This window comes from Homo sapiens, chromosome 11, assembly GCF_000001405.40.
Source record: "Homo sapiens chromosome 11, GRCh38.p14 Primary Assembly".
NCBI lineage: Eukaryota > Metazoa > Chordata > Mammalia > Primates > Hominidae > Homo > Homo sapiens.
In genome coordinates, this window is record NC_000011.10 from 45,490,813 (window position 1) to 45,514,805 (window position 23,993).

The following is a 23,993-nucleotide window of genomic DNA, read 5'->3' on the forward strand; positions in this document are numbered from 1 at the left end:
CACATATTGATTGGCTGATGAAAATACTATGACCAAAGAGCTGCAGGAACCTAACCTTGTATTTTCAGTAGGAGCAATGGTTCAATATTTGTTAATTCAGTGTTTGCAGTGACCTTACAGAATATAATACCTCAAATAATGAAAATCGGCTAAGTCTGACCCACTGAGTTGAATTGTTTCTGTATCTGAGTCTCCCCCTCACCTCCTTCCCCTAATGTGCTGCAGGGCAGAGATGGAGCCTGACTCATTTGTGCATTTCCAGCACCCCTAGGAATATAGCAAGTTCTTAGCGTTTGCTGAATATCTTCCTTCCTATGAAGGACATTGAGACATTCCTTCATTCAGCTAATATTTAGTATCAATGCCAGGCACTGTTCCAGATCCAGGAGCTACAGAGGGCAGAAAGGGCAAAAACAGACAAAAACCCCTGCCCCCATGGTTCTTTTGCTCTCATTAGAGAAGACATGCAATAAGCAAAAGAAATACATTAAATGTATAGTATATTAGGTGGTAGTAAAGGCTAAGGATAAAAAATGAATGAGTAAAAGGGGCTAGAAAGTATCAGGAGTGGGAGAGGGATAGGAATTTTAGGCAGAGTAAGTAGGAAAGCTGCATTGAGAAGGTGGATTTGAGAAAAGGAAGTGAAGGTGCTAAATATGTAGTTGTCTAGGAGAAAGGTGATCCAGGCAGAGGAATAGCAAGTGTGATGGCTCTGAGGCAGGATCTCACCTGGGGTGTTTGCAGAACAGCAGGAGGCCTTGTGGCTGCAGTAGGGCGAACCAGTGGGGAGTGGTAGGACTTGGGGTCAGAGATGTGATAAGAGAACCTGTGGGCTGTGTAGAATTGGCCTTTCTCTAAGTTCGGGTTGATTCTAGGAATGCAAGTTTGGTTTCACATTTGCTCTTTATGGTGTGTAACATTAACAGGAAAAGAAGAAAACTACATGATCATTTTAAAGATGCATTCCAGGAATAAACCCATGTGGTTGTGATATATTATCCATTTTATGTATCGCTGGATTCAATTTTCAATGTTCTTTTGGGTTTGGGTATCAAAGTTATGCTGGCATCATAACACAAGCTGAGAAGTGCTCTCTTTTTTTCTATTCGCTGGAAGAGTTTATGAAAGACTGGTGTCACTTCTTGCTTAAATGTTTGGAAGAATTTACCAGCAAAGCCATCTGGGCCTGTAGTTTTCTTGATGAAAAGCTTTAAAATTATGGATTCAATTTTTAATAGATATGCTACTATTCAGAATTTCTGTTTCTTCTTGTGCCCATTTTGTTAAGTTATATTTTTATGGAATTGTTCATTTCTTTGAAGCTTTTACATTTATTGACATAAAATTGCTCATAATATCCTCTTATTATTTATTTTTAAGTCTGTGAGATGCGTAGTGCTGTCCCTTTTTCATTTTAGATAGTGCTAATTTGTGCCTTCTTTCTTACTGTTATTCAGTGTTGCTAGGGGCTTATCAATTTCAATAATCTTTTCAAAGAACTAACTTTTGTTGGACATTGTGTTAGGCACTGGGGATAAAAGTTGAATAACATTTGGTGTCACTGTTTCCAGAGATTTTACATTTTAGAGGAGGAAGAGAGGCAATAAACCAGCCAATATAATATTTGGTAAATAATTTCAACAAACAATAAGTTCCATGAAGAAAATAGACAGAGTGAGTGGGAGCCACTTTGAATTGTCTGCTTTCTCTAAAGTGGTAATATTTAAACAGAGACTTGTAAGGCAAGAGTTACCCATGCAGAAGTCACACGAAAGAGATCTCTAGGCAGAGAGAATAGCATGTACAAAGGCATGAGGTGGGGGTAGTATCCAATAGTATGTGAAGAGCGAAACAGAACACTGCAGTGGCTGAAACATCATGTGTAAGAAGGAGACAGTGACACGAGTTGAGATCAAAGGAGAGATGAGCAAGGTAGAGCCAGATAAGGTAGGGTCTTATAGTCCACAGTATAGAGTTTGGATTTTATTTTAAATACCACAGCAAGTGTATTAGTCAGCTATCGCTATGATAATGCTCCATAACAAACAACTCCCAAATCTCAGTGGCTCCCAATAGCAGTTAATTTTCTGTCTCGCCAGTTGCAGGCCAGCTGGGGTGGCTACGAATCACACTAATAGTTGATCTTAGATCTTCTCCATATGTTTCTCATTCTGGAACCAGTGTTTATCAAGGCATGCTCTCTTCATGGAACATGATAGATATGTAAAAGACCAAGCTAAACCACACAAATTCATTTAATGCCACTGCTTGCATCGAGTCCATTAAAATGCTCTTGACCAAAGCAAGGCACATGACCAAGACCCCGATCAACAAGACTGGAGAATACACTGTCTGCACTGGTGGGAGGCACTGAAAATTCATATTGCAAAGGGCATACAATTATTACAGGGAGGAAATGAAAGATTAGGAATAATAATCCAATTTGCCACAGTAAAATCACTCTGGCTGTTGTGTGGAGGATGAATGGGAGGGAAGAGGTGAGAGTGGAGAAGAGACTGGTTCAGGTCAGCAAGGACGGTGATTGGAATTCAGTTGATAGCACTATGGGTAGAGTGAAATGGACAGATTCTAGGTGTGTTTTAGAAGCACACCACAGAGGAACTGATGATGTATTAGACAGGGCGTAATTACTATTACATTCCCTTTACTCACTTCATTCCAGCCTCACTGGCCTTCTTGCTACTCCTCAAACATTCGAGTCACGCTGTGATTTCAGGGTCTTTGCAATTGCTGTTCCCTCTGTCAGAATGCTGTTCCCTTAGACACTGGCTTGGTCCACTTCCTCAATAAATTCAGGCCCTGCTCAAATATCAGTTCCTGAGTGAGACCATGTTGGATTGTCCTATTTACAGCAAGAATAATCTCCCTTATTCTGATCTATTTTTTCCATGGCTTTTATTGCCAACTGACAGATGCAGATTTGCTTATGAATTATTTTCTCCCACTGCAATGGAAGCTCCATGCATGCAGGGATTTTTGTCTGTTCTGCTCACTGCTGTCTACACAGCATCTTGAATGCTGCCTGGCACATAGTAGGCACTCAGTAAATCTCTGATGATTTAATAAATGGATTCCCACAGGACAGCCCCATTGGGCAGGCATATGACAACTCCGGGAGACAATTCATCCTTGATCTGGTCTTCAGTCCTCAGAGACCTGGCCCACCTGTCATTAAGAAGGCCACCCTCTCTCCAGGCAGCTAACACATAGGGAGGGGTAAGGGGCTGTTTGATGCCTGGGACTGTGGTGAGGCCGGCTTGCCTGTTGTGAGTCATTAGAATGCCCACCTGGGGAAATTCTGGAAAATCGGTTTTCATGGTTCCAATGAGCATCTGCCCAGAGGCTTGCAGTCATGTGCTTTATCTCTTCACTGCAGCTCATGTAGTGTGGGAATTCCAAGAGCTGGGCTTCCATCCCTCCCAAGCCCCAGGATCTTGAATTCAGAATCAGGGTGAGAGTGAGTGCTCCTGGGGCCTCCCACAGCCCCAAGATTAAGCTCCAAGAACAGAAGCTGACATCTGTGGGCAGATATGAGAGAAGGGGATAGAAAGGGACTCCTAGGACATTTGTTCAAGTGCAAGCCAAGGCGCTGGTTCCTTTTTCAAAAGAATAAATAGCCTCTGATTGAAATGGGAAACTAATTGATTGTACACACTGGCTTTTCAAAAGACAATGTCTGCCATGAAGGGAGTTTGTAGGGAAAACTATAGCCTATGTATGTCCATGGGGAGGTGGATGTATATAATAGGATGAACGCTCTGATGAACATGTGGGGGAAGAGGCTAGGGTACATGTCTAGGAATGTTGCTGTGTACACAGAGGGATGGATAGTAGCTAAGTGCTGTGCTGGAGGAGCCTACAAGAGACTCTTGCAGGGGAGGGCTCTGTAGAGTTCATACAATGCTGTATATTTGCCAGAAATACTGTAACCTTACCTTCATGTGCACTAGGGAAGACTGCTTGGGATGGGAACAGCTGAAGAGCTGGGAACAACCCAGGGGCTCAGCTAACCCACACCCCAGGGGATGGATAGCAGCTGGGTATATGGAGATGGAGGGCAATGGAAACCCGCTTTCACCAATGAATGATGCTCGCCCAGATAACACCACCTGGGGTTCAGGCAGGCCTGCCTCATAGCTGTGCACTGCAGGGGGACATTTGGCAGAGAGGTTATGAATGGGGGTAAAATCTGCTCCCCAGTCTGTGCATTCTGGCACCTTTTACTGATTGGCTCACACACAGGGGGCCTATTTTCCAGCTGGTCAACCCAGAGGAGATGACTTTTTCTAATCTACACAAAGGTGCCTGAAGTGCTTACAGCACCCAGTGTCTTGGACCTCTTTCTCCTCCCTGTGGGACCTACCTGGTCTCCCAGTCCCCTTCACATCTCACCCCCCAGTGCCACAGCCACACAGACCCACTTGTTGTCCTCCCTACATGCCAGCATCCCTGACACTCTTCCTGCCCCATTCATATCCCTGGCTACTTTCATTTCCTCCAAAATGAGGGTGTCAGACTATATAACTTCCAAGATCTCTGCCAGAGTCATCATCATGGGATTTTTCAAAATCAGTTTTGTTGAGGTATAGTGAGTAAATAATGAAATTCATCAATGTTGTGTCCAATTCAATGAATTTTCACAAATGTGGAGAGTCACATAACTATTAGCACCACAGCAGAGATACAGAACATTTCTATCTCCTCCAATGTCACCTCTTACTCCTCCGCAGGTCATCCCCTATCCCCACTCTAACCATAGCAATCACTGATCTAGCTCAACAGTTTTGCCTTTTTCTGAATATCATATAAATGGAATCACACAGTCTATACCCTTTTGTGATGGCTTATTTCATTTAGCATAATGCTTTTGAGATTTGTTTAAGTTGTGTGTATCAATAATTCATTCCTTTATATTGTGGAGTGGTACCTCATTTTATGGATATACCACAATTTATTTATCAATTAACAACTATTGATGGATATCTGGATTGTTCCCAGTTTAGGGACAATATGCAAATGCTGTTACATTTGCATACAAGTGTTTTTAGGAACATATGTTTTCATTTTTCTCTGGTAAATACCTAGGAGTGAGATAACTGGATCATATGGTAAGTATCTATTTAACTTTATGAAAAAAACTGCCAGCCTATTCTAAAGTGGCTGTACCATTTTTTATTCCCACCAGCAATGAATGGGTACTCTCATTGTTCCACATCTTGCCAACATTAGGTATCCTCATTATTTTTTTTCAAAACTTTTTTTAAATTAAATTTTTTATTTTGTGATAATTGTAGATGCACATGCAGTTGTAAGACATAATACAGGAGACCCCGTGTACCTTCTACCTAGTTTTTCCCAGTGATAACATCTATAGTACAATTTCACAACCAGGATATTAGCATTGATACATTCAAGATACACAACATTTTCATCACCATGGAGATCCCTCATGTTGCCCATTTATAGCCATATCTATATCCCTCCCATTCTTGCCCTCTCCTTAACCCTGGCAACCAATAAGCTATTTTCCAATTATATAATTTTGTTATTTCAAGAATGCTATATAAATGGAACATACAATATGCAATTTTGGGGGATTGTTGTGGTTTCTTAATGATATATTATCTTTTTAATGTATTTCTGGCCACAATATGATAGAATTACATATTACATATTTTTGCATCTAATTTCATGAGACATATTAGTTTGTACTTTTCATTTTTTATAACATCTTCATCCGGTTTTAGCATCAGGATAATGTCGACTTCATAAAATGACTGGGAAGGCTTCCCTCTTACTTAATTTTCTGGGAGAGTTTCTATAGAACTGATATTATCTCTTCCTTAAATGTATGGTACAATTTACCAATGAAGGCATCTAAGCCTTGATTTCTTTGTGAGAAAGTCTTTAACAACAAATTCAGTTTCTCTAATAGATTTAGGGCTGTTCCAGTTATTTACTTATTCTTGAGTGAACTTTGGTAGTTTATGCCTTTCAAGGAATTTGTCCATTTCATCTAGGTTGTCAAATATTGTTCATAATATCCTTTATTATCTTTCTAATGCCTATGTGACCTGTAGTAATACCCTAAAAAAAATTCCTAATGTTGGTACATTTTTTTTTCTTGGTCTGGCTAGCTAAAAGTTTGTTAATTTTATTGATCATCCAGCCTCAATGATTTTCTCTGTTGTCGTCTTCAATCTCATTGATTTCTGTTCATATCTTCATTATTTTATAGCATCTACCTACTTAGGCTTAGTTTGTTCTTCTTTTTCTATTTTTTCAATTGGAAGCTTATATCTTTCATTTAAGACCTTTCTTATTTTGTAATAGAAGGATTTATTACTACAAATTTTACTCTAAGCACTGCTTTAGCCAAATTCCACAATTATTGACATAATGTTTTCATTTTCATTCAATTTTAAATATTTTTAAGCTTTGCTTCTGATTTATTCTTTGATCTATGAAGTATTTTGAAGTATGCTTTATAAATTCCTAAACACTTGAGGATTCTTTCTTATATCTTTCTGTTATTGATTTCTAATTTAAATCTGTTGTAGTTGTGCTCAGGGAGAATACTTTGTACAATCTAAATACTCTTAATTTTATTGAGCTTGTTTTATGGCCCAAAATATAGTCATTCTTGGTGAATGTTCCATGGACACTTCAAAGAAATGTGTACTCTGCTGTTGTTGAGTAGAGTATTCTAGGAATGTCAATTAATTCAAGTTAGTTAATAAGTGTGATTCAGGTCTTCTATATCCTTACTATTTACTTGTTCTATCAATTACTGAGAGACAAGTATTGAAATTTCCAGGTGTAAGTGAATACTTTATTTTTTCCTCTTTCAATTCTACCAGTTTTCATTCATGTATTTTGAGGCTCTCTTATTACATACATACACAGGATCATTATGTCGTCTTAATGAATTGATCTGTTAATGTTCCTTGTTCTGAAGTCTATTTTGTCTAATATTAATATATTTGCCCCAGCTTTTTTTGATGTGTTTGCATAGTATATCTTTTTTCATTATTTTACTTTTAATCTGAGTGTTTATGCTCAAAGTGAGATTTTTGTAGACAGCATACAACTAAGTCTTGATTTTTTTAGTCAAAATGATCATCTGTTCACTTAATTGGGGTATTTAGCTCATTTACATTTAATGCAATTATCAGTATGTTTGGATTTAAATCTACCATCTTGCTAGACCACTTAATATTGTCCCATAGGTCACTACTTTTTTCATCCTCCCTCTCTCTCCCACTCTCTCTTTTTCTCTCGCTGTCCTTTAAAAATCTATGCTATATTTTGGATGGTTTGTATTGGCTTGTCTTCAAGTTCACTAATCTTTTCTTCTACAGTCGCTAATCTCCTTTTAATACCCCCAATGTATTTTTCAAATTATATACATTTTTGAAAATTTTATTTCAGTCTTTTTGTATTTTTCATGTATCTCCTTATCATAATTGTGTTTTTCTCTACCTCCTTGAACATATGAAGGATATTTGTGATAACTGTTTTAACACCATCATCTGCTAGTTTCATAATATCTGTCTTTTAGGGGTCTTGTTTCAATGGATTGGTTTTTCTCTTGGGCTGTGGATCATATTGGATGTTGAACACAGCGAATTTTATGTTCTAGGTGCTGAATTTTGTTGTATTCCTTTAAAGAATGTATTGGCATGCAGTTAAGTCATTTGAGATCAATTTGATTCTCTGAATGTTGCTATATAAGCTTTATTAGGGCAAATCCAAAGCAGCATTTAGTCTGAGGCTATTTAGCTCCATTACTAAGGACTCTGAAGGACTCTTTCTTATGCCTCACATATTTTGAGGTCTAGCCAATCTGGATAGGGGGAACATAAACCATTCCCAGACCCCTCTGAGCTCTGGGAATTACTCAGCCTACTGGTTTCCAGTGGTACTTAGGTGCTTATCCCAGCCTCATGAAGTTTCACCCCACGCATTCTTAAACCAGTATTCAGCTATTCAGCCAAATATTTGAGAGCCTCCCTCTGCAGAAAGCTGGCTCTAGCTCTTGCTCTCAATCTCTCTCTCTCTCTCTCTCTCTCTCTCTCTCTCTCTCTATCTCTGTCTCACACACACACACACACAGACACACACCTCTCTCCTCTCTGTTATGTCCTACAAGTTCCAGCTGCCCTCAGCTTCCACAAATTCCAGCCTCTGCCTCCTCAAGTCAATTAGACTGCTGTGCTCTGTTAGATTTCCCCTTTTTGCCAAGTATCACAGGGCTCACCTCATTTTTTCCCTTCTCGAGCTCACAGTCTTGCATTGCCTGGTAACCAAATTTGTAAATATATGAAACAAAGTTGTTTCATATATTTTATTGTGGCTTTTTGATGTTTTTAGCCTGAGCATAATTCTGCACTCTCTTACTCCCTCAGCTAGAAGTGGAAGTTCCCCCACCATCCCAGGTATGGTGTTATGGTATCTATTGGTTTTTGTTCATAGTTCCTGGTTCATAACTCCCATATCCCTTGTGATGGTCTTTTGTTATCATGTTGCGTATGTTAGGCCTCAGAAAACAGAATCTCTGTCCTGCGCTCCATTCGCCTGCCCCAAGGCAGGACTCTAATCTTCCCATGCCTTTCTGATGGTGGGTCTGAAGACCCTCCCAGAGAGGGTCCCACCCTATACACTCAGGGAAGGAATACTGATATCATGAAGCCTTCATAAAAACCCAAGATGACAGAGTTTGGGGAGCTTCAGTATAGCTGAACCCTGGAGGTTCCTGGAGGGTGGTGCACCCAGGGAGGGCATAGAAGTTCTGCCCTCCTTCCCCCATACCTCACCCTACACATCTCTTCACCTGTATCCTTTGCAATATCCTTTATAATAAACCAGTAAGCATAAGTGTTTCCCTAAGTTCTGTGAGCTGCTCCAGCAAATGAATTGAACCCAAAGAGGCCATCATGGGAACTCCAATGTGAAGCAGGTCAGTCAGAAGTTTTGGAAGTCCAGACTTTCAACTGATGTGGGGAGGAGCAGTATTGGGGACTGAGTCCTCCACCTGTGGGATCTGACAGTGTCTCCAAGTCAGAACTGGATTACAGCATACCCAGCTAGTGTCTGCTGCTTGGTACATGGGGAAAAACCTTCACACATTTGGTCACAGAAGTCTTCTGTGTTGATGATTGTTACTGTGATGTGAAAGTATAGGAAAAACATGGTTAGAGAGAGATTTCCCTACACACTGGGATTTTAACATAAGAAACCAAATCAACCTAAGAGGAGGCTGTCATCAGCATGAAGACTATAGTTGTTGGGGATGTAGAGAAGATGGTGTCCCCTGCTTCCCTCTGGCCCTTTCTAGGCCTGACACTGGGAAGCAAAAACAGAGCTGGTTAGACATGTGAAATTAGGGGTGCCCAGAAAGTTTCAGGGGCTCTAAGCAGGAGGAGGTTTGAATGTCAGGACATTTGAAGAAGACAGCAGGACCACAGGGCTAACAATGTATTCAACAGCATTCCTGGGCTGTGATTTGCTAAGATCTGACGCCAAGAAAAAAAACAAAACCACCAACAAGACAGGAAGAAAAGAATAAAAGAAAATATATAAACATGGTAACAAAACCTTTTTTCAGCTGGGGCTTATAGAGGTTTTATGGTGGTTTTTTTCCTAGGCAAGTGGCAGTGAAACCTTTATTGCACCTCACAGCCTCCCAGACCGTTTTTTATACTACATAATGTGTTTGCAAGTTTCTGTCCATCGCTCAGTCTCCCTGTGCTTTGTCCTGTGAAACCATCGGTTTCCATGGCAACCAGACTGCCAGATGAAGGAGCCAAATGAACGGACGGAGGTCTTTAGTGCACCTCTGGGGACCAACAGAAGCCTAGGCCACAGATAGGAAAGGGATATGGGAGTAACCACAAGGGTCCCTCCACCAGCCAGGACTTCCCCTGCCAGCTCTGCACTTCTGGGTGGCTGCCTGGTGCATCCACAGGTTGGCACTCCTGGAAAGACTCGTCCACCATTGAGCTCCTTCCATCACTGACATTTACAAAGCCCCTGGAATATACCCCAGTCTCTGTGCAGGTGGCAAGACCCAGAGATGAATAAGACTTGGTCCCTGCCCCAAATGGCAAGCAGTCTGTCTAGAGAAATAATGGTAAAAGGAGTCTAGAAGGAACATTTATTAAGTGCTGACTATAAGCAAGACACTGTTCTAGGAACTATATACCTTAAATTTTAATTTTCACACACACACACACAAAAACCCGTGATTTAGTTATTTGTACTATTTGCATCATGGAGCTTTACCCATAGCTCATCCAAGGTCACATAACTTGTCAAAGGGAAAGCCAAGATTCACATTCAGGTCTGTATCTGGCTCAGCCTCTACCGACAGGTACAACCCTATCCCACTCGGTCACTCTGTCTCCTTCCTCTAAATCTCTTTTTTCTGGTTGCTTCAGAGTTTAAAGAACTCTCAGAAAGTCTTTCTGTCTCTCTTTCTCCCCTGCCTGGATCCCTCACCACCCCTCTGTGGCCCCGTCTCTCCTCTCATTCTTGAAATAAATGTATTATTGAACTAAAGCCCCTGCAACATGAATTAAACATAGGAACAAATCCCATTGTGGCCTCTGAGCCCCATGCTGTGCTGATGACATTAATGAAGGGTCACACAGCCACATCCCTGCTTAAGTCTCTGAAATCCCACTCCCTTTGTCCAGACAGAGGGAGGAAACAGCTGACATCAGAAAACTGGGAGACCCTCAGGGAGAGAGAAGCTCTTTAAAAATAGCTCTCATAGCAGGAGGGTTCTGCCGGGCTAGCCTTCCCTGGGCTGAAAGAGAGCCAGCATGAGCCACCCCTTCGACCGGCCCCAGCTCTGCCCGATGGCTTCAGAGGCTGCTCCCAAAGGGGCTCAGTGAAGGGAAACTCAAGCTTGTAAAGCTAAACCCTGCACTGTCAACAAGGCCAGGGGACTAACAAGGCCAGCTGAGGCTGAATGACACAGAACACTGTCTGTGCCCAGACTTTGCCCTCCTGATGGGCTGCAGGCACTGACCTTCCCTCCCTAAGCCCCTTCCCCCAGGCTAAACAACCTCTGGGACCACAGAGTGTCACAAGTTCATGCGGCCCAACCTCCTTGTTTTATAAACAGGAACCCAAGGCTGAGAGAGGGACAGCAATGACCAGGGGTCACACAGCATCTCAGAACAGAGCCAGGACTCAAGCTAGGTCTGAGCAACAGACCTGGGTCCCTGGCCTGTGGGACGACCACCGCGCCAGTCTAAGACACAGGTCATCTTACTAAGAGAAGCACCTCAACTCCTCGGTGCCCTGGAGACTCCAGGAGCATGGCCTCTCTGCAGTAAATCTGGGGGTGGGGGTGGACTGCCACCCCAGGGCCTAGAAAAGGGCCCATGGGATCTGAGAAGAGTGGCCCAACACAGATGGAGGCCCAGGGGGATAGGAGGCCTCTGGACACCAGGACTATCTAGGCCCCGGCTCCTGCCGTGGACAGGAAGGGCTGGCAGGGAAGCTACTGAATGAGTCACCCAGTCCCTTGGTTGCCTTTTCTGTGATATGGAGGAGGGCTGGCATCCCCCTTTTGGGGTGGCTGTGAACACAGTACTCAATGAGGTAATTAATGAAAACTTTCTAGCCAGGTCCTGGCACCTGGCACGGCCTCGATACATAGCATAAACACACAGCCCCTGCTCACAAGTACTGCGTCCCTGCGGGCACTGGTTCATATGGAAACTCTCTGTGGCTCATGGAGCTCCTAGAAGCACCCAGACAGCTACTTTCTTCACACCTTTCCTGGCTGGCCGAGTGACTCCTGAGTCTCCCCTGACCCTAACAACAGATGTGGGGCCCTGACTCCCTCCCTTAGGGCAAGTCACTTGACCTCTCTGTGCCTCCGGGTCTCAATTTCTTCAACTGAAAATGAGAATAGCAACAGTGCCTGCTATATACATCTATATGTGCATGTGCACATGCACGCACAAACACGCAATCTTTGTTCAACTTCATTGAGATATAATTTGTACACAACCAAATGCACTCATTTTTAATAGCTTTATTGAGATATAATTTATATACCATATAATTCACCCACATGACATGTACAACTCTGTGGTTTTTTGTATACTGACATAGTTGTGCAACTATCACCCAATCTATTTCATTATCCCTCCCCACCAAAAATTCAGATCTATTAGCAGTCTCTCCCTATGTCTTCCAACCATCACCCCGCCAGCCCTAGTCAACCACTAATCTACTTTCTACCCCCATAAGATTTGCTAATTATGGGCAATATGATTTTTTGTGTCTGGCTTCTTTCACTTAACATAATGCTTTCAAGGTTCATTGGTGTTCTAGCACACATCAGTACTTCATTCCTTTTTACCGCTAGACAATATTCCATTGTATGAATATAGCACATTTTATTTAGCCATTCATTCTTTGAGTTGTTTCCATGTTTTTGCTACCATAAACAATGCTACTAGGAACATACATGTGCAAGTTTTTGTATGAACATACGTTTTCTTTTATCTTGGTTATAATACCTAGGAGTAGAATTACTGGGTCACGTGCATGTGGGACCTTTTGAGGAACTGTCTAACAGTTTTCCAAAGCAGCTGTGTCATTTTCCATTCCCACCAAAAATGTATGAGGGTTCCAATTTCTCCACATCCTCACCAACACTTGTTATTATCAGTCTTTTTAATTATTCTCACCCTAATAGACGTGAAGTGATATTTCATTGTGATTTTGATTTGCGTTTCCCTAATGGCTGATGATATTGAGCATCTTACCATGTGCTTATTGACCATTTATATATCTTCTTTGGAGAACTATTGAGATACTTTGCTCATGTTAAAATTGGGTTATTTGTTTTATCATTACTAAGTTTAATGGTTCTTTATATATTCTAGGTACAAGTCCTTTATCAGGTACATGATTTGCAGATATTTTTCCCCATTTTGTCAGTTGTCCTTTCACTTTCTTGATAACATCTTTGAAGTTTTTAGTTTTCATAAAATCCAGTTTACCTATTTTTTTGTCATTTGCATTCTTGGTTTCATACCTAAGATACTGGGGTAGGCAAAGCCTATATTTTACTCCTATATTTTCTTCTAAGAGCTTTACAGTTTTAGCTCTTACATTTAGGTATGATTCATTTTGAGTTAATTTTTGTGTAAAATGTAAGACAGAAATCCAACTTCATTCTTTCAAATGGGGGTATCTAGTTGTCCCAACACTTTTTTGTTGTTGTTGTTGAGATGGAGTCTTGCTTTGTCACCCCAGTTGAAATGCAGTGGCACAATCTCAACTCACTGCAATCTCTGCCACCCGGGTTCAAGCGATTCTTGTGCCTCAGCCTCCCAAGTAGCTGGGACTACAGACACATGCCATCACGCCCAGCTAATTCTTTGTATTTTTATTACAGACGGAGTTACACCCTTTGACCAGGCTGGTCTCAAACTCCTGACCTCAGGTGATCTGCCTGCCTCGGCCTCTCAAAGTGCTGGGATTACAGGTGTAAGCCACCTCACCTGGCCAATTTTTAAGATTACAATTTGATGAGTTTTAACAAATGTGTATACCCACAAAACCACATCTCATTTCCTCATCCCAAAAAGTCTCCTGTGCCAATTTGCAGTCCATCTTCCAACCCCAGCCCTGGGCTACCATAGCCTACTTTTGTTCACTATAGATTAGATTTGCCTTTTCTGGAAGTTCATATAAATGGAATCACACAGTTTGTACTCTGTCTTGCATCTGTCATTATATTTTTTTATCATTTAATCCTCCTGTATTAGAGTTCTCTAAAGAAACAGAGCCAGAACAAACAGGGCGTGTGTGTGTGTGTGTGTGTGTGTGTGTGTGTGTGTGTGTGTGTGTGACAGAAGGAGATTTATTTTAAGAAATGGGCTCACACAAGTCCAAAATCTGTAGGGTGGGCTGGCAGGCTAGACAGGGAAGAGTCGATATTATAGCTCAAGTTCAAAGGCAGTCTGCTAGCCAAATTCCTTCTTCCTTGGGGGAGATCAGTCATTTTTTCTATTAAGGCCTTCAATTTATTGGATGCAGCCCACTCACATTATGAAGGAGTTTTCCTCAAAGCCTACTGATTTGGATGTTAATCTCACCTTAAAAAATACCTTTACAGCAGCATCCAGGCTAGTGTTTGACCAAATATCTGGGTACCGTGGCCTAGCCAAGTTGAAATGTAAAATTAACCATCACACCTCTCATCAGCCCCATGAGGTGAACATTATTATTCCTATGTTGCAGATGAGGAAGCTGAGGCTCAGAGAGGGTAAGTGATGGATCTGGTACTCATAAGCGGCAGAGTTGAGACTGAAACCAGTGCTGTTTCAATATCCTCATGGTCACCTCTCCCTGGTTCTCATCCATTTGTAGATCAAGAAGGATTTGTGATGTCCATCTATGACTGTACCTCGTTAGACCTAAAGACCCTCCTGGGGTTCACATCCTGGGCTTCCTTCTTCCCTTGTCTTGGGACATAAGGGAGGAGGTTACATGGCCCAGTGCCCCTCAGCCCCAAAGCCCCCACCACCTGGTCCACTTGTTGTTTGTTTGTTTCAGCCCCACAGAGGTTGAGCTGGAAACTTTAAGGCCTCCAGGTTCTGAGGCTCACCAGATATTAAAAATGAAGACGATAGCAAAGCCGGGTTAGTACTTGCATGGATGATCTTAGCCTACACACCTTGTTTCTCCTTTCAAATTAATGGGTGCCCATCCAACAATTAAAGAAGGGAGCCCTTCCTGCATGTGGAGACAACCCAGGTTGACGAGTGGAGGCACACTTGTGCAGACTGGAGAAAGGCAAAGCCACGGTACAGAGCCTTGTGGCCTACATTAAGTGTTTGCTTGTAACTACCTGAGGCTTTCACCACCGCCTATGCACAATCCAGTGGCTGATATGAAACCTCATTTGGAAATAACTCTGAAAGTCTAAATGCCATGCCCACCATGAGCATGAGAGCTGTCTCTGGGACAAAGGGAGAATGAGGAGGTGGAAAAGGGAGCTCCAGCTTTCAGACTTTTTGGAAGGATTCCCCCGTGAGCTCCAGCCTTGTCTTGCAGGGATCAGCAGCTCAAGTCTTGTGGTTATAGGGTCAGTTCAGCTTTCAAGGCAGTGCCATTTTGTGTTCAAAGTCTGAGACTGTTCACTCTGGGCAGGGCATGCAGCTGTGACTGAAGCCCTAAAATCTCCCCACAAGCCTCTTCCCAGGCTTGCCATTTCCCCATCAGCAAGCCTTTGGCATGAGGTCTCTGGGGGACCTGATAATAGAGAGGAATAAGCTGGGATCCACAATGGACCCCAGAAGTCCTTGAAATTTTGGGTAGAATTCGCTCACTGAAAAAGCTTTGGGTCCTGAGCCAGGGTGAGGGATCCTCCCAGGGACCCGGATATAGCCTCTGTAGGCCCTGCTTTCTTCTTTCACCTTCCACTTCTCCCGCTATCGTCGAGTCTAACTGCTCTCCTCTCTCCTGACCCTACCACAGGCATATCTGCTGACTCTCTCCTGACCCTACCACAGGCATATTTGGCCAACTTGAGCCACACAGAGATATGCCCTTCATTCATTCATTCATTCATTCATTCATTTAACAAACATTTATTGAATGCCAACTGTATACCTAGCACTGTGCTGGGCCCTGGAGCCTCACCTGCAACAATGAACAGAGAAGATGTCTCTATCCTCACAGAGCTTTTGGTCTAATTATAAAGACCTTACAATCATAAACAACCCAATTTATTTTTATTTATTTCTTTATTTCTTTAGACAGTGTCTCATTCTGCTGCCCAGGCTGGAATGCAGTGGCATGATCATGGTTCACTGCAGCCTTGACCTCCTGGGCTCAAGCTATCCTCCCTTCTTGGCATCCCAGTGTGCTGGTATTATAGGCGTGAGCCACTGGGCCCAGCCCCAATTGCAAAAATAATAATGGGTAAAGCATTTGAACCCGTATTTCACCAAGCAAACATATGGATGGCAAACAGAAAAATGCAAAGATACTCACCATCAGTAATCATCAGGGAAATACACATTAAAACCACAGTGAGTTAATGCAGCACATCCGTTGTAACAGCTGCAATTAAAAAGACTGAACATGCCAAGCGTTGGCAAGGAAGTGGCTGAAGTGGGACTCTCATACATTGCTGGAGGGAGTGTAAAATGGTACAACCACTTTGGAAAACTGTTTATCAGTTTTTTAAAACATCAACATACAGCAACCACATATGACCCAGCCATTCTACTCTTAAGTTATTTACTCAAGAAAAATCAGAACATATAACCATACAAAGATTTATATACAGATAATTATTGCAGCTTTATTTGCAATCACCAAAAGCTGGACTCACCCCAAATATCCATCAATAGTGAATAGTTAAAAAAATTTTGCTTTATCCAGAGAATGAAATACTACTCTGCAATGAAAAGGAACTACTGACACACACAACAGTATGAATGAATCTCAAAATAATTATGTTGAGTGAAAGAAGCCAAAAAGTGTATACATCATAGAATATTTTTGTATAAAATTCTACAAAATGCCAATCAGAAATTAGATCAGTTGACTAGATCTAGGGTGGAGAGGGTTGGCGGGAGGAAGGGAGGGATTACAAGGAGTCATGAGCTAACCTTTTAGGGAAGATAAATATGTTCATTATCTTGACTGTGGTGATGTTTTAATGAGTGAGTATATTTGATTGGTGCAAAAGTAATTGTGGTTTTTGCCATTTCTTTTAATATATGTCAAAACTTATCACATTTTAAACCCTAAATATGTACAGGTCAATAATGCTATTTTTGAAATTACAACTGCACAATGAATTGTTTAATTACAGGTGAGACTAAAGAGCTACAAAGTGAGTGTTCTGGACACTGTGAGAATCTACAACTGGAGAAGCCAACATTGCCTGTGGACTGAGAGCCACATCCCAGAAAGTGATGTTCAAGTTGAGATGGGAAAGATGGGTTGGAAATGGGGGGGCAGGGGGATGAGGGAGGAGGATACTGGGGGAGAAAAGAAAAATCCTGGCCGAGGAAACTAAGTATGTCAGGCTTCTGAGGAGTGGGGAGGCAGCATGGTGGACCAGAGGGGCTTCGAGAAGCCCGAGAGGACAGAGGGAATGCTTGACACATCAAGCCTTTGTTTTCTCTCATCCAGATGTCCAGTGGTCTCAGGCAAAGGCCCAGGCAATGGAAGCTTCCCATGGGGCCCTCTACCTCTTCACTGCTCCAGGTGGGCCCAGGCTCATCAGACCACAGGCCCCCCATCGCCTTCTCAGGGGCTCCCCCATGCTAGCCGGGAAATCAAGGTCAACACAGGCTCCACACTCCCCTGAGTCCTGCACCTACCCCAGGCTTGCTGAGGGCCTCCAGAGGACAGCTTCTGTCCCTCCTACCACAGGTTGGATCTACAGCCTGACCTGGCCATTCCTCCAGTGTTTGGAGAATCATTGCCTAGCCTTCATTCAGGAGCCAGATTGCCTGGGCTAGAATCCCAGCTCCACCATTCACCAGCTGTGTAAACTCCCTGGGCCTCAGTTTTCTCACCTGTAAAATGGGATTCATTGGACTGTTATGGATTAAATGAGTTGACGTTTATAAAGAACTTAGAAGAACACCTTATTTATTTGTTATGTATAAAATGAAATTCCATCCTGCCTAATAAATATCGGGAACAGCTCTGGGTGGAGAGGTGATGTGCCAGGGAGGGGTCATCTCAAGTCTAAGAGATAGAGGGTGACCCATCTGGTAGCAGACAGCAGCGGAAGCTGCTTGCCTGGCCTCTCTGGGTTTGAGGGCAGGGATGTCTCTTCTAGCTTGAACACAGCCTACACTCCAGTTCTGTGACTTCAGGTGGGTTTGGCATCAAAAGCCTTCAGGGCTCCTCTTATGTGATCATGAGTTTCCTGTTGAGATCCTTCTGGCTGGAACAAGCTTCTTGATCCCCCAGAAGTGCCCAGTACTTTTGTCACCTGTGTCTGTGCCTTTGCTTGGGGATGCTGGGACTACAGAGCAATAGATTTTCTCTCTGTCTCACCTTCTGTTTTCTTCTTTGTTCTTCTCCATCTCAAAAAGGAAGGAGCAAAATGCCTCTGCTCAGGGGTAGATTTTTCTGTCCAAGCTGAATCAGGTTACCTCCCAATTATTTGTTAATGGGAAACAGCCAGTCCTTCCATCTGGGGGACACACAATTGTGTAATATATGCCATCCCAGTTGATCCTCAATAACCTGTACAGCAGGCAGAGCTTGGCCTATGCCACAGATGCAGAAACTGAGGCTCAAAGGGCCAAGAGAACTTGTGCTCGGCCAGAAAACCTGTTGTAAAGAATCACCATCAATTCTATGACCTGTTACATGTGCACAGTCTTTGTAATTTACAAAGCATCTTCACAGCCAGTTTCCTAAGGGAGCATCACAAAACCCCTGCAGAGTAAAACAGGGCAGCTATTATTATTCGTGATTTACAGATGGGAAAACAAGGGCTTGGAAGATCAGAGATATTCACGTTGTTCCATGGCTAACGTTGTTCCATGGTTCAGTTAAATTCAGCAAGCATTTATTGAGCACCTACTGTATGTCAGCCCCTGTCCTAGGTCCTGGGGAACTAAAGAGAATGAGAAATGGCCCCCCGCTCTTGAGGAGCTAATTTTTGAGACAATGTGATAGATGCCTTCAGGATGGGTGATCACAGGGCTCTGAGGCAGCTCACAGAGAAGCAGGTATTAGGGAGGCTTCTTGGAAAAGCTGACATCTGAGCTGAGTCTTAAAGGATGAATAGGAATTGACCAGGTAAGTAAAGGTGAGACAGACATTTGGAGCTAAGAGACAGGGCTAGGGCTAAGCACAGAGTACGGGTCCAGGTCGTGTGTGCAAAAGCCACAGGTAGTTGGTTCTTACAGAATAGACACTTTGAAGCCACATCTCCTGCTACGGCTTGATCCACTGTAACAAGCAGGAGAATGACCTCTATGTATGTGCATGCACGTGTGTGTGTGTGTGTGTGAGAGAGAGAGAGAGAGAGAGAGAAAGAGAGAGTATGTGTGTGTGTGCGCGCGCGCGTGTGTGTGTGTGCAGGCAGGCAGTGGTGGCAGCATCATACATTTAGCAGATCTTGGTAGTCAGAATATGGTCTATAAAATTTGAAGACCTGGATTTAAATCCTCCATTACTTTTAGCTATTGGACCTTGGGAACATGACAAAATGTCCCTGTGCCTCAGCTTTTCCACCTATAAGTGGGGATGATGAAAGAGCCCACTTCATGGCATCGCTGGGAGGACTATATTAGGTAATATCTCCTTCTAACAGTGTGTGGCAGGCACAAAGAGAGCTCTCAATGAACATTGCCTGTTATAATTTATTTAATGCAGACAGCACTCTCCAAACCCATTCCTCCAGGGAATTTTTGAGAATCACCACAAATCCACTGGGCTTGCGGTGCTGTCCATCATATTTGTTCTACAAATAAACCAACAGCAAGGTATAACCTCAGACTGGAAAGTGACCTTGAAGGGAGAGGGCACAGAGAGGTGAGAAAGAGCAAAGGCTCAGAGGGAGGAAAGTACATTCTGCACATAGGAATAGCAAGTCTAGAGGTCTTTATTTAGGGAACATAAAGTCCTTCATTTAAGGGTTATGATGTGAAAGGGGACCAGGTTACTGCATTTGACTCTGGCTCCAGAAGGCAGAGAAGGATGAAACGGGCTAATGGACAGAAGTTTCAGCATCAGTCAGAGCAATAGAATGGGCTGCCTTAAAGGTGGTGAACTCCCCATCACTTGTAATTCCTGTCATTGGGGGTTTCAATCTATCTTACCCTGCACTGGGTGGCTGTGATCACCTCTGAAGTTCTGATGAGCCACTGAGGTATGTGATGTGGTAGAATCAGAAATTCACAAGATGGGGAGAGGGGGAGGAGGAAAAACACATGAGTACGAGGAGATGAGGCTTTAGAAAGAGGTATGGGACTCCCTGCAGTTGGGCCAGTAAGTTTCATCCCTTTGGATTAGGAATTGTCCATTACAGAAATGTAAAGAATGACTGATAGTTGTATCAGTCATTTTCACTTTAGTATAAATTAGACACACAGATCATTTTCTCCCTAACAGCTGCCTGATGATAGAGGAGGACACACAATACCAAATGAGGAGAGAGAAGGACATGGAAAGTAAAGTGGGAAGGGCTCAGAGACAAACTTCATTCATCTCAATTTTGCCAGGGAGTATCCCTGACTGCAACTGAAAGGCAAGAAAAAGAATACTCACTCAGTGGCAAACTTTTGCCATTATTTATTCATTTTAGCACCCAACTATTAGGCATCGGCTATATACCATGTTGTGTGCAGGGCACTGGGGATGCTAGATGCAACCAGACATAGGTCTGGCCCTCTGGGGTGCCCAAGCTAGTGGAAGATGGGCTTGGAAACCGTGATCATAAGCCAGAGTGACCAGTGCCGTGATAGAAGGATCTGCTCAAGCAGTGGTTGACCTCTCCCATAAGCCACACCTCAGACCTTTTTCTGAGAGCCACCCCCACCCCAAAACTAACAGATCAACATGACACGAAAAGAGAGCAAAAGAGAGGCCCAAAGCATTTGAGTTACCTGTTCGGGAAGCTGCAGAGCCAGGACTCCAGAGCATCCCCTGACTCCAGAACGGGGCACCTTCTCCCAAACACAAGCACCTTCCTTGGGGCGGGTTTCTGGAACATCCCCCAGCCCACACTGGCCTCCCTCTCAGTGGACCAGCTCGCCAGCTGCCCTCCTCTCTCATCTGCTCCCTTTCCAGGGCAAGGAAGACAGACAATGACTGTCGCAATAAGGGCCTGTCTGGAGCTTTGGGCGGGTGGATAATTAGACTCTGAGAGAAGCCATCTGCTTTGGGCCCCTTGGGTCTCGGGCAGGCTGGGGCAGCGCAGCTCCTGACCACGCAGTCAGCTCTCACCATGGAGCCCCTACGTGCAAAGGGTTTTAATGTCTTTGGCCATAAGGAGGCCTGGCTGCCTCCCCAGCAGCAGGGCCTTAAGTGAGGAGCTAGGGCTCAGTCCGGTGTTTATTTCCTTGTCAGGTTGTTCTACTTCTTGGGGCCCTGGGGTAGAGCTGCACGGATTGGGCCAGGTGGGGTGGGGAGGGGTAGGCAAAATTTACTAGGCACAACTGTGGCACTGCAGAGTTGGGAGAGACCCACGCCAGCACCACGTGGGCCCTTCCTCTTTCCAGAAGGGACAGCTGAGGCCCAGAAAAAGGAAGGGACTGGGCCAAGGTCCTACAGTCCTTGTAAAGACACCATCTTTAAAGGTTGATGTCATCCCTTGCTGGGGACAGGAGGGATAGACTGCAGTGGGCAGGCTGAGCAGCCAAGCCCTCGGCTCATAAGGAAAAGCTACCATGTGTTGACTTCTACCCGGCCACATATAGAATTTTACCCTTGACCTTGTTTCACCTTGGCAACCTCTACAGTTGTTATTATTATCTTCAGTGTACAGATGAGACTAGAACACAGAGTAGTTAAGTAACTTGCCCAAGCCCACACAGCTGTCAAATGGAGTGAGGCTTTACACTCAGGTCTGTCTGAATTCACAGCCCCATTTTTCCCCATGCAAGAGGCAGTGCAGAGTAATGGTACTCACACAGGTGCCTGGCCTGGACTGCTGTCTGGGTTCAAACCCCAGCTCTGTCATGTACAGGCTATATGAACTTGGGAAAATTGTTTTTCTGAGTCTTCCCTCTCCTCTTTTTTAAAATGGGGATTGTAGTACCCAATTCATGGTGTCGTTGTGAAGATTCAATGAGTTGAACTGTCTAAAAGGCTTGGAGCTGTGCCCAGAACAGGGTAAGCCCTTGGTAAATGTTGACTGCTGTTATTACTACCGTCTGTTTTCAGCACAATAGCCAGGGGAATCCTTTGAAAACATAAGTCTGGTCACTTCACTCCACTGTTTCAAACCCCCCAATGGCTTCCCCTCCACCAGAACAAAGGCTCAAGTTCTAACCTGGCCTCTGTCACCTCCCTAGTGTTACCTTCCCAACTACCTACAGCCAAGACAACCCAGGCAGGCTCCTGTCACAGGGCCTTTGCACCTGCTCTTCCCTCTGCCTGAAAGGCTACTTCCCCAGATGTTAACATGGCTCCACCCCCCAGCACCTGTTCCAATGTCACCTCCCTGAGACCTACTCTGACACATTCTTCAAAATTGTCACCACCACCCGCTTCCCTGCTTGATTTTCTGTCTAGCACTCATTGCCAGTAGACACACTGGATAGTCTGCTTATTTAGTTAATTATTATTATAGTGATGGTTTGTCATTTTCTCCTCTCACTAGGAAATAGCCCATGAAGGCAGGGGTGTCTGTCCTGCTCTCTGCTATGACCCCAGCGCTGGAACATTGCCTGGCACAAAGTAGGACCCCAGGAAACATGAGTTGAAGAAATGCATGAATGAGTGACTCTATTCATCTACTCCTACAAGTGAAGCCCCATATCCAATGCCCAGCACATGTCGGGCATCCAAGAAATGCTTGTCAAAAACAGGCCAACAGGAGGAGGGAGGGGCATTTACCAAACACAGACCAGGCACTAGAAAAAAAGCCAATCCAGACTTCACTAATTCATGCGCCCACAGACTCGTGCTGGGACATACCCCTGTGCCAGGCTCTGTTTTAGGTCCCAAGGATGTTATACTCTGGAGCAGGGAGGGGTAGGGTGGGGCTCATGATCCCTGCCCTCATGGACTTCAGATCTTGTGAGCAAGAGGGACACTGCCCAGCTCTGCGTGTTACACATCGATAACACTCCCATCTCACATACAAGGAAACTGAAGTGTCTTGGCTGCTAAGCAGTAGAGCCAGGTCTAGAACCAGCTGGGTCTAAGTTCCTAAGCTCCCCCTCCTACCCCGCATGAGAGTTCCTGCTGTGGGTGCTGACAGGAGGGTGAGGCCTGCATCAGGGAGATGGCACAGGCCAAGGTGCCAAGGTAGAACATGGAAAGTCATTTTAAGATGGAGCAGAAGGAAGTGAAGGCAGAGGGAGGAAGGAGACCAATGGCAGAGCCTGCAGGTGACGGCTCCAGCTTTCTCCTGCAGGCACTGGGAAGCCAGCAAATGTTTGTGAGTGCAGGAAGCCTCAAAGAGCAGCCTGAGGCTTGTGTAGGAAAAACAGGAAGAAGCAGAACCCTGTGGGAAGGAGGAGGCCTGGCCCCAGGTCATCACATGGTTTAGGAAAGAGGTAGGGAGTAGTGTGAAGAAGAGGCATGAACGACTCTCGGGCCCACCAAAGCCTGCACGCCCCTGCATCCCCGCGTCCAGCACCTACGTCCCGCTACTGTCACCACCAAGCCCAAGTGAAAGGCTGAAGGAGATGCTAAGGGAAATGAAACCAAGGGGAGGACAAACCACAGAGAAGATCTGCAAGGTTGTCTGCTAAACCTGCTCCTCCAAAGCCAGAGCCCAGGCCTAAAAGGACCCAAGAAGGGAGAGAAGGGACCCAAAGGGAAGATGGGAGAAGCTGATGCCGGCAAGGAGGGGAATTGTCCTGCAGAAAATGCAGCTGCCAACACAGAGCAGGCACAGAAAGCTGAAGGCGCTGGGGCTGCCAAGTGGAGTATGTGCATTTGGGGTAACTGTGTACCTCTGGTGACTGCACAGTTTGAAATATTATTTTTTATCAAGTTTTATGAAAATGCAGAATTTTGTTGTACCTTTTTTTAAGCTATGTTGTTAGCACTCAGAACACTTCCTTGTTGTTTTGGGGGGAATGGAGCATATGTCACTAATAGAATGCCTCCGAAGCTGGATCGATGTAGGGAAAACATCTTTCCCTTCTAGTTTTAGGAGACTTCCTCTCGGCTCCCAGGAGTAGGGATTCCCTGACTTTGACACACATAGCCACCTTGGCACAAAAGCCTTGTTGTGTGGAAAAACTAAAATTTGTTTTTATGTCATCTTCTCCATT

At 44.1% G+C, this 23,993-nt stretch overlaps 1 long non-coding RNA gene and 1 pseudogene across 2 annotated transcripts in view; one reads left to right on the forward strand and one right to left on the reverse strand.

The window, feature by feature from the left end:
- Positions 1–23,993, reverse strand: part of LOC105376654 (uncharacterized) — a 55,627-nt gene that overhangs the window by 3,965 nt on the left and 27,669 nt on the right. The window lies entirely within an intron of this gene.
- Positions 23,273–23,839, forward strand: HMGN2P37 (high mobility group nucleosomal binding domain 2 pseudogene 37; annotated as a pseudogene).